At 58.0% G+C, this 10,927-nt stretch overlaps 4 annotated features.

Annotated features, from left to right (window-relative positions):
* Positions 948-1,478: an enhancer, noted in NCBI's record as "H3K4me1 hESC enhancer chr10:43544190-43544720 (GRCh37/hg19 assembly coordinates)". NCBI's record gives its function as "activates a minimal SCP1, AML or CMV promoter by ChIP-STARR-seq in primed H9 embryonic stem cells {active_cell/tissue: H9 hESC(primed)}" and the evidence as "EXISTENCE:reporter gene assay evidence [ECO:0000049][PMID:30033119]".
* Positions 4,086-4,977: an enhancer, noted in NCBI's record as "H3K4me1 hESC enhancer chr10:43540691-43541582 (GRCh37/hg19 assembly coordinates)". NCBI's record gives its function as "activates a minimal SCP1, AML or CMV promoter by ChIP-STARR-seq in primed H9 embryonic stem cells {active_cell/tissue: H9 hESC(primed)}" and the evidence as "EXISTENCE:reporter gene assay evidence [ECO:0000049][PMID:30033119]".
* Positions 4,978-5,869: an enhancer, noted in NCBI's record as "H3K4me1 hESC enhancer chr10:43539799-43540690 (GRCh37/hg19 assembly coordinates)". NCBI's record gives its function as "activates a minimal SCP1, AML or CMV promoter by ChIP-STARR-seq in naive H9 embryonic stem cells {active_cell/tissue: H9 hESC(naive)}" and the evidence as "EXISTENCE:reporter gene assay evidence [ECO:0000049][PMID:30033119]".
* Positions 9,345-10,065: an enhancer, noted in NCBI's record as "H3K4me1 hESC enhancer chr10:43535603-43536323 (GRCh37/hg19 assembly coordinates)". NCBI's record gives its function as "activates a minimal SCP1, AML or CMV promoter by ChIP-STARR-seq in primed H9 embryonic stem cells {active_cell/tissue: H9 hESC(primed)}" and the evidence as "EXISTENCE:reporter gene assay evidence [ECO:0000049][PMID:30033119]".

Raw genomic sequence — 10,927 nt, 5'->3', positions numbered from 1 at the left:
GTAATTCTAACATCTCTTTCATGTAGATGTCAGCATTTATTGACTGTTTCATTTAGTTTGAGATTCCCTGGGTTTTGGTATGACTAGAAATTCTCTTTAGAAACCTAGATATTCTCATATTTTGTTATGAGACCCTAGGTCTTTTTTTTTTTCTTTTGAGACAGAGTCTCACTCTGTTGCCCAGGCTGGAGTGCAGTGATGTGATCTCAGCTCACTGCAACCTCTGCCTCCCAGGTTCAAGCGATTCTCCTGCCTCAGCCTCCCAAGTAGCTGGGACTATAGGCGTGCGCCACCACGCCTGGCTAATTTTTGTATTTTTAGTAGAGATGGGGTTTCACCATATTGGCCAGGCTGGTCTCAAACTCCTGACCTTGTGATCCGTTTGCCTTGGCCTCCTAAATTGCTGGGATCACAGGCGTGAGCCACCACGCCCGGCTTCTGGGTCTTATTTAAGCCTCTGTTTCAGCTGGTACTTTCTGTCAGCCTCTGTCAGGGAAAGGGAGGCAGTACCTTCTCACTGCCAGGTAGAAGTAGAAGCTTGGGATTCTCACTCAGCCTCTGCTGACACCTGAGGTGCAGGTGGGGACTCCTCATTACAGCTGGGTGGGAATGGGAGTTCTGGCTTTCTGTGTGGTCTTCTCTGACACTGCTGCAGGTGGGGGAATCAGTACCAGCTAGTGAGGATCAAAGCTCCAACTCCCTTCTTGGTTTTCTCAGCAGGGATGTGGCTGGCAGTGGGCGGGGGAAACGGCAGGGTCACTCAGCTCCCAGGGTTTCCAATTGAGCAGGACAAAACTGCCTCCTGCTGTGGTGGGGAGGGCATCTAGGGGCAGGTTGCATGTTGGGGACAGATCAGGACACCTCGAGGTGCCTTTCAGAGGCTTGCAGCAATTGGCGTGGTGGCATCGGCTCCCAGCGGGTGCAAGCCACGCAGCATGAGATCACCAAGGACGGAGGGCCAGGCTTCTGGACATGCCCAGTCAGGGTGACAGACTGGAGCTGTCAGGCAGGCGAGACACTCTAGGGCCAGCTGGGTGGGCCTTCATGTCGCTAACCATCCACATGTTTCCCTGCCATGTCATTAGCTCTGTTCCAACCCTGCTGGTCTGAGGCCTCACATGAGGCTGAGAGCAGGTCACGGGCAAAGGAATCTGTTTTGAAAGCTCCGGGTGAGCCTGAGAAGCGTCCCATGGGGAGAACCAGACAGGCTGTGTGGCCTGGGGAGTCACTCAGTCCCTCTGTCTTCGAGGACTCAGTTCTGTGCATGGGGCTGGCATGAGGCACAGAGCCCTCACCCAGTCTGTGTGGATGAGCTGTGACACAGGGACAGCTCTGCCCCCATCACCTCTGCATTCCATTGTCATTCTGCACATCTGCAGTGACCCTCCTAAGGGAGCAGGCTCATCCTCCCCACAGCCCCAGGGCCCCACTCAGAAGGGCCATGTGGAGGCCACGGTAAGAATGTTCTTCATTTCTGTAGGGTTACTCAGCAAGCATTTGTAACTTGGTCTCAGAGCATCCACCATATCCTGGGTACTGCTCTGCTCGTAGGGCATGGAGCAGCCAACAAGAGATGAGGTCACAGTGAAATCAGTGGGTGACCATGACTGTGGAAGTAACAGGCAGAGGCAGTGGCAGGCCCAGTGTGGAGCTGGGGGCAACACCCCCTGTCCACTGTGTCCCCCTGGCTGAGACCCTCCAGCCAGGAGAGAAGGAGCATCCCATGGCTGTGGTGGGGACCCTGTACCCTGCCCCTCCTTCACCAAACATGCCCACCATCCCTTACCCTAATTGTCGCTGCCAAGCTCCCTGGCCCTACCAGCTGCCCAGAATCATCCTGTGCCCAGCATCATCCTGTGCCCAGCAGCTGCCCAGGGAAGACAACCTCAGTGTGTGCCACATGAAGAGGTCCCAGGATGGGCTGCCCTGGAGCCACTTACAAACACCTCTTTAAAGGTCACTGCAAGTGGAGGAACATGGCCACACCTGATCTACAGTAAGATGCCAATCTGGTAAAAGAAAAATGAAAACGGGAGGCCAGCACTTTGGGAGGCTGAGGCAGGAGGGTCAGTTTGAGGCCAGGAGTTGGAGACCAATCTGGGCCACATAGTGAGACCTTGTCTCTCCAGAAATATTTAAAAGTTAGTTGGGAGTGGTGGCACACACCTTTAGTACCACCTAATCAGGAGACTGAGGTGGGAGGATCGCTTAAGCCCAGGAGTTCAAGGCTGCAGTGAGCCATGATTGCACCACTGCCTGCCGCTTGGGCAACAGTGTGAGGCCCCGTCTCTAAAATAAATAAATAAATAAAAAGGAAAAGAAAAAGGAAAACAACAAAAAGCCCACTGATCTGTGAGCCCATGAGCAGTTTTCTGGGTGGTGGGTGGCTGTCCAGATTGTTTTTATGGTCATGGCTCTTTGGGGCCTTGGGCCCCTGGGAAACCGAAGTCAACCCTGCAGCTTCTTCTCACAGCTTCAGGTCACCTGCCCCATGCACCATGGGCCCCGTGCCAGGAAGCCCACTTTCATAGTTTTATGAGATTTGCCTTTCTTTTCCAAACTGTACACAATGAATGAGTTGCTTTTATAATTTCAAGCCCGATTCTTTTATTAAAATGCAGAGAAAAGTTTACAGTTCACCTTTAAAAATGATGGAAGCTGCTGGCGATTGGGTGGTATGTGTCCCCAGTCTGCCCACCCATGCCACAGGGCTCCTCTGGCCAGAGCCGAGCCACTGGGTGTTTGGTGGGCACATGGTGAAGGGGTTCTGATGATTATCATGGGTCTCTCAGTTTGGGCCTGTAATCTTCTTGGCCTCGGGGTCTTCCCTTGTCCCAGCCCCCTCCTATTTTTCTTCTTCCAAAATGACCAAAAGAAATACAACTTCCCACTTAAGTGAAAAAAAAATTCATCTAAGTAGCCTTTTAATAAAAACAAAGGCTCTCTCTGATCAAAAAAATCAATTAGTTGGTGGAGAATTTTATTAGTCAATCATGTAAGTAATTAAAAATATTGATTGATGGGGGCGTCTGTGGCTGAGAGCTGTGCTCCTGCAGCAGGGATGGCAGTGGCTGGCATGGGAGCTGCAGGGAGAACGTATGGAGTGGCGGCTTTAAATCAGTCCCCAGCGTGTCTCTTCCAAGGTCAAGCAGGGCGCATTAGACAAGGGACTCAGCCCATCCTGGAGCCTCAGATTCCTCCTACGAAAAACACCAGTCCTGACTGTGTGGGGTTCCCGGGTGCATGATCCTCTGAATGAGGCCGTTGAACAGTGCGTGTCTCAGCACTTGGCTCCTGGGGGGCAGGGCACTGTGTCCTGAGGGCCCAGGCATTCTGGATTCCAAGCCTAGCCTTGTCTGGGGCCTCGGGATGGGAGGCACAGAATGGTCACCAGGTCCTGTCTCCTGAAACAGGCTTTTCTGAGTGGGCCCCGTCCCCTGGCTAGAGTCTGACAGAGATGGGGGCGCTGCAGTCATGTTGTCACTCAGCCAGTGCACCAATGCTCCGTCATGCTGCTGCTTAACAAACCACCCCGCAGCACAGTGGCTTCACTGACAATATTAATTCTGCTCCCCAAACTGCACATTGGGCCCGGTGTGGTGGGGACAGTGTGTCTCTGCTCCACTTGTGTCAGCTGGGTTGGCTGGAGGCATCTGAGGGCTCCTGGTGCTCGGTCTGGCAGCGGAGGCTGCTGCTGGGCCCTCAGGTGGGACACCTGCATGTGGCCTTTCCAGGGACCTGGGCTTCCTCACAGCATGGGACCAGGCTCCAAGGGGAACCTCCCTAGAGAGGGAATCAGGCAGAAATGAGTCGCCCTATCTGCCCCAGTCTCTGATTTCACTCTGCATGGCCTCTGCGGGCCCTACCCACCACCTCTGCCCTGCACCCGGTCCAAGGAAGGGGAAACAGGTGTGCTCCTGGAGAGTAGCAAGGTTCTGAGAATGTGTGGGATTGGAGATACTCTTGTGGGCATTTTGAGAAAATGCCATCTGCCACCCAGAGGCCCAAGGATGGTGTCCTCTGCTAGGGGAGGGCCTGCCTGGGTGCCTCGTCAGAGGGACTGGGGAGGGACCGAGTGCTCAGTGCTGAGCCGTGCCCAGGCACCTCATCCTGTTCTCTCCTTCTGACACCGCATTGGCTAGAAACCACTTCCCTGTTCACAGGCGAGGAAATGGAGCTGGGATTCTAGCACAGCATACAGGACTCCAGAGCCCACTCCCTTCTTCCCAGGCGGTGCCCAGAGGCCCTGCCTTGGTGCAGAGCTGGCTGCTGGCTTCCATCTCTGCTCCTTGTGGACCTGCTCAGCCTTGGCCATCCCACCTGCTGTGGGCTCACCTTTTCCACCCGTGGCCACAGATGCAGGTGGCTGCATGGAGGCCCCAAGGGCTGGGACCACCCTCACTGCCACCCTGCAGGCATCTGCTGGCCTCCTGAGGAGCGTTGGCCTACCTGGCACAGCCCGAGCCCAGTGCCTGGAAGCCCAGCCTCACTCTCCTGCACTGGCCCAGGCAGGGTCAGCAATTCTTGCACGTGTGGCCCCTTCCCGGACACACCATTCACAGAGGCTGAACCCACATGGAGATCCACACCCTGAAAATCTTTCTTTGCTGGGGAGGCAGTCTGGGCCCTGCCCACGTTGCCCTGCACATGGATAGAGCTGGGTCTGTCTGCCCTGCCAAGGAAGAGCAGGGATGCCACGGCCCGCTGCTCAGGCAGTAGGATCACGGGAACACTTGACCCCCACACAGATGCAGGCCCTGGATGCTGCCGGGGGCTGTAACACGTATCTCACCCCTACCCCAACCCTGCCACCGCTGGGCCTGGGCCACATTTTGTCAGGCACGGGGTTGCAAGTTTCACCCCATTATTGGACTTCTCACCTCCCCCGGCCGACCTGGGGCCTCCCCAAGCAGGGGCCTCCCCTAACATGGAGCTTATGGACAAGGAGGAGGATGGGGCTGCAGAAGTGGCTCCTGCAGTGGGAGGGGAAGGAGGGTGTCCTGAGAAGCATGTGCTGTAGGCCTCCCACCCCCACCTCTGCGTGTGTCCCTGGGGCAGGCCCTTTCTGAGGGTCCTCAGGAGGGAGCCCTCATCTGAAGGCCCCAGGCTCCTCAGGGACCCTGGACAGCCACCCTGCACCCGGCTCAGGGCCTGCCCCTTCCTCCCAGGGGAACTCGCAGGCCCTGCCTCTTTGGGCTCAGTCACCACAACCCCCAGTGCTCGCCCCACCAGGAAGGGCTCCCACTGCCTTTCTGGCACACAATTTCCCAAAGCCACCCCGAAAAGCAGGCCCTGGAGGCTCTCCTATGCAGGCTGCTCGTCCTCTGAAAACCTTGGCTATTTGTTTAGACTAGCTGACATTTCCATGGTGTTTTATTAAAGGAAATATCCTGGGGAGAAGGCAGGATGTTTGCACAGAGCTTATGCCCTCTGCCTTGGGGCCCGTGGCACCCAGGGCGGGTAGGTGAGGAGCTAGTACTCAGCAGGAGCCGTCTAGACAGGGGTGCGGCCGCTCCCCTCCCCCTGTTCTGCAGAGGCCTAGGCCGCAGCCCTTGCAGGCACAGGGACCCTCCCGGACTCTGTTGGCCCTGTGCAGGGCTCTGAGGGGCTGCACAGATTGGGAGTGAGGCGACACCCTCCCCTTCCTCTATGGGACTGCAGTTCTTGTGGCTGGGCCTCAGATGCCTGTGCTGGCCCAGGGGCCCCCAGCTGTGCCTCACTGCTCTGCCTCCGGCTTTGCTGCACTGTGCCCCTTCCTCTCCTTTGTGTCTGTGTCAGCTTCCACCAGGGGCCCTGGCAGCAAGCAGGCTGAGGGGCTGGGGTGCCATTTTGCACAAACAATCAATATTGTTCACTGGGATCCGTCTCCATGGCCAGGCCCAGCTGAGACTGTGCTTCTCCCTCAGCCCTCACAGGGCACTTCTGAGGAGGGGTTGCCTGTCCTCACCTCCCTGGCCTCACAGGGCACTTCTGGGGAGGGGTGACTGTGTCAGGAAGTTGCTTCCCACCAGCCTCTGTGCAGCTGCTGGCCAGCTGGCATGAGGACTATGGTCTGCTGGGGCGTGCACCGTGCAGGTTTTCACCGCCCCCAATCCGGGAGCCCTGCAGGTGTCTCTGTCTCGCCACTGGGCCTGGAGTGTAGTCCGGGTAGGAGGTCCTGAAATGAGGCCTGGTAAGCAGGGGGAGTGTGGGGCATGTTTCAGAGGTGCCTGTGACCTTGGGGCTTTTGCAGAGAAGGAAGGAAGGGCCACTTACTCCTGCTGTCCAGGGAATTCCCGGCAGGGAGAGCCAGGGGTGGTGGCTGATCTGGCCTTAATGACATCCCTCTCCGGCCCCCTGGGACAGAAGTCTGTGCTGGGCAGTATCTTTGCATTTGGGTATAAACATACTCCCTCCACTTCAGCTCCCTGGCAGAGGGGGGAGCCCCCACAGGGTGGCATTTCCATCTTAATTGGCACGATGATCCTGCTGAGACCAACTGCTGACAGTCACCATCATATTCAGCAGGAAAGGCCACACGTTTGTGGATTAGGAGGGGCAACTGCACAGGCCATGCTGCCTCCTTCCCAAGGTGAAAGTGGGGTGCCCAGGGGCCTCGGTCATGTCCCTGGCAGGTAGGGGGGCTGGGAGCCCAGTTCCACCCCGCCTTTCCCTCTGGGGCTCTTTCCACAGGGACTCGGGGACCATGGGAGTCACAGTGGAGCAGTCTCATTGCGCCCTCGGGGGAGGGCTGGCGATGAGAAGCCATCCAGTGGCTGCAGCCCCTCCAACAGTGGACCATGCCTCACAGCAAGGTTGGGACACAGAGGCCTCTTCTTTGGGGTCTCGGCCCCCTGGGTCAGATCTGGGGACTCCCTGTAGCTGGAGGCTGAGAGCCAGGTGGAAGGAGATCCGCAGGCCTGCACCAGGGCCAGGCTCCAACCCAAGGTCACAGGCTCTTGGCCTGAGGGTGGAGACACTGATTGTTCTGGGCACACGTGGGGCAGAACTAGGACTCCAAGCAGAGGGGCAAAAGCACATCTGACGTGGGGAGGCCTTGCATAGTCAGGGCTCCCTGGAGGTGCTGAGCACCCCTGCCCACCCCATGGGCATGCGACTGATGCCCAGTGCAGCTCCTGATCAGGAATGGAGCCCATCAGGTCGTGGCAGGGCCCATAGAGGTCTGAGAGCTGAACTGATGGCACAGAGCTTTGCTTCTGGGCCCCATTTCCTCTTTGGGGTGCACTTATCGTCAGGGTTGTCAGCGGCAGGGCTGGGATTGTGAGAGCCAGGGATTGTGGCTGATCTGGCTTTAATGACATCCCTCCAGGGGCTGCGGCCACTGGTACCTGCTGTGGCCCCTGAGGACACCCAGGCCAGCCAGTCGGGGCACCTGTCCAGTGTGAAGCAGGCTGTGGGGAGGGCAGGAGGGAAGAATTGGGGGCCAGGTCCCTGACAGCTGGCTGACTCATGGCATGACAGCCCCCTCAGCGTGGCCACAGTCCCAAGAAGGGACTCCGTGCCTTGGCCCTGAGTGCCAGCAGGAGGCACCCTATGCCTACCCGGCCCAAACTTCCCTGAAGCCCAGAGGGAGGGGTGGCTGTGCCTGACCTCAAAGGTGAGTGCCCAGAGCCCACTGGGAGATGGGTGAGGGTCCCCTACCCTGGCTGCAGCCCCTCCTAAGTAGGGAGCAGAGACATGAATGAGGGAGTGTAGGCCATCTGTGTGACTTGGAGTGAACATGGGAGGTCTGCTTCAAATGCCCTCTTGGCCTTTAAGTATTGCATAGATGGAAGAAAAAAATGTAACTGTCCTCTCCTCCCAGGACAGGGAGCCACACCTGCAGATAGGTCCCATTTCTAAAAGTGACCCCTACTTTCCTGCCTGCACTTACTCTGGCTCTGCCCTGGGGAATGGTCCCATGGCCTGGCCCAAGGTTGAAGGACCCTGGGCTTCCCAGGCCCCCCAGGACTGTGGTCTTGGATAGCCACGCAGAGCCAGAAAACTGGAAGACCCCCATCTCTCCCTCACGGGGAAGGGCCTGCCATGAGGAGGCAGCCCCCAGAGGGGATGAGCTCATTCCTGGCTGGTCTCCAACCTGCCCATGTTCCCAAGGCTAGTATGGGGGCAGTCTCCTGGGGTGCTCCAGGGAGGGTGCAGGACCAGGAAGTGAGGAGGCAGAACTCCCTCTGTAACCTTTGAGGATCTTGGGTGATCTCCAGGCTGGCTGGGCACCTGGCTCAAGAGTACTCATGTGGGGATTCCTGCTGGGACAGCCAGAAGGTCCCCTTGGGTCCTCAGGCTGCGTGGACACAGCGGCTGGCTTCGGGGGAAGTCAGTGCTACACCCACAGGGTCCCTCTGGTGCCAGCAAAGCCTGGCATTGCCCCTGCCAGCTTTGAGCTTCGAGAAGCTGCCCCAGCTCTTGGGCCCTGATGGCTGAGACATTGAGAGGGGCTCCAGCTTTGGGAGGTGGGCTGAGTTGGGTGGGGGTGACCCAGGACGCAGCAGTCAGTCTGTCCCTCCTTCAGCACGCTCTTCTGGGACTGCTGTCTGCCTGGGAAAGTCCAGGGGCCGCCTCCCTACTGGCCTTTGCATGCCTGCCTTAGTGGAGCATGCCCAGGAGGAGGGAGGAGCAGCTGGTCACTGAAACAGGGACAGGGGAAAGGAAGAAAGGACTTCAGGCCAGCTCTCAGGTGAGGGATGCTGCTGGTGGGACTCAGCCTCAGCTGGTGGGGAGCTGGCCCAGGGCTGGCCTCTAATGTCCTGGAACTGCCCTGCTCCAGCACTAACCCATGACATGGCTCTAGGCCACCCACTGGCCCACTGCAGGGTTTTCAATGTGTGTTCCATGAGCCCATGAGGTCTCCAGGGAATGCTTCAGGGGTTATAGAGGGATGGGTTATAGTGAATGGCGGTTAGAGGTAAAATCTGGCCTCTCATTTTACTTCGGGAGATAGAAAACCACAGGATCCTTCTCCACTGAACTTTCTGAGGTTCTTTGATTCTGATTCTACCCCAGAACCTCTCTTCCCTTCCATGTCTACTTACAGCTTCCTGCACTAACCCAGCCTCCTCCTCACTCATGCCTGGACTTCATCCCCCACCACCACTACCTCTACCCTCCTCTCTCTGTCTTCTCCCCCTTCCCCCTCCTGAGCAGAGCAGGTCCTCTCAGCTCCCCCAGCATGGCAGGTCCTGTCAGCGCTCCCTCACAGCATGGCAGGTCCTGTCAGCCCAACCCCCCACAGCATGGCAGATCCTGTTAACCCCCACTGACAACATGGCAGGGCCTGTCAACTGCCCCCAAGAGCATGGCAGGTCCTGTCAGCCCCATCCCACAGCAATGGCAGGTCCTGTCAGCACCCCCGCCCCAACAGTATGGTAAATCCTGTCAGTGTCCCCCACACCATGGCAGGTCCTGTCAACCCCACCCCACAGCATGGCAGGTCCTGTCAGCGCCCCACTGCCCAACAGCATGGTAGGTCCTATCAGCTCCACCCGCCAACAGCATGGCAGGTCCTGTCAGCCCCTCCCCCCACAGCATAGCAGGTCCTGTCAGCCCCACCCCACAATACCCCACAGCATGGCAGGTCCTGTCAGCACCCCACCCCCACAGCATGGCAGGTCTTCTGTCCTTGGGACCCCTCGCATCTCCATCGTTACCATCACCCCCTGGAGCCACCACCATCCTGTGCCCTCCCCAATACTAGCCAGCATGAAATTTCCAAAAGGACTTGTGTGCATGTCACTGTCATGCACACCTTTTGGTAGCTTCCTGCTGTGAGTGGGATACAGCCCGCTTTCTTTCTGAAGGCCCAGCCCTTTGAGACCTGTCCCCTCCTTCTCCGGCCATGTTTCCTCCTGGGCCGCACTGCCCACCTCTCTGGCTGGAGCTTGCAGCCAGGGGCCCTTGCCGTTGTTTTCTCGGCCCCATGCCCTTTCTCCCTCCGATCTGACTCGCCCTCTCCCCTCAGCCTCAGCTCACATGTCTCTTTGGAGTGCCCTGCCTGAGCCCTCCAACCCTCTGTAGGAATTTTGGAGTCCCCAGCAGAATTCTGGTCCCATGGGCCATGGGCTCACTGGCAGTGTCACTTAAGAGAGTGGCACCCGTGTGTCCCAGGCCATGAGTGAGGATGGAGCCTCGGGCACGTGGGTCTCGTGTCCCTGAATGTGCCCCTTGTGGGCAGAGACAGTGTTTCTGTTGTCACAGACACTGTCCTTGTGCCTCTGCACCAGGTGTTGTGTGCCGCCTTTCTAGGCAGGGTCTCACATACCCTCCCTGAGGGCGACAGGACTAACGTTGTCCTGTTTTGGGGACAACATGCCCCAGGCCAGGACACCCAAGAAGGAAGCAGAGGAGGCTGCTTGGGCCCGAGGCCTCTCTCAGAACCACTCTAACCACCCTTGGCCTAGCAAGAAGGCCCTTCCCTGGCTGAGCTGCATGGAGCGCCTGGCTGCGCTCCAGCTGGGGGGACACCTGAGGCAGCTGGGCCTGGCCCAGAGCTCCACCACATGTGTTCTGTCTCGGCGCTCCACTGGGGACCATGATGATGTGAGACTCACACCGCAGTTTCCTGTGATGTAATTAGCTCCCCGGAGCCAGGGGAATGGCTGGCCTGCTGGCGGTGGGGGCGGGGGGGGGGGGGCTCCTGCAGGTGTGTGTGTGTGTATACATGTGTGTGCGTGTGTGTGTGCATGTGTGTGTATGTGTGCGTGGGCGTGTGTGTATGTGTGCGTGGGTGTGTGTGTATGTGGCTGTGCGGCAGCTCCTCTGGGACCTAGGGGTCTGTGCAGAGAGAGGAGGCAGGCTTTGCTCTGCCTTTTTAAAAAGACAGCATCAGGGGCTGCCTAAGCACTTTGGAAACTCAGAGGCCCAACTCCATGACCCTACCCTGTGGCTCGATCTCAGCAGTCTCAGTACATTCATCGATAAAACAGGGACAGGA

Source organism: Homo sapiens, chromosome 10 (genome assembly GCF_000001405.40).
Source record: "Homo sapiens chromosome 10, GRCh38.p14 Primary Assembly".
NCBI lineage: Eukaryota > Metazoa > Chordata > Mammalia > Primates > Hominidae > Homo > Homo sapiens.
This window is presented reverse-complemented; position numbering and strand designations above follow the sequence as displayed.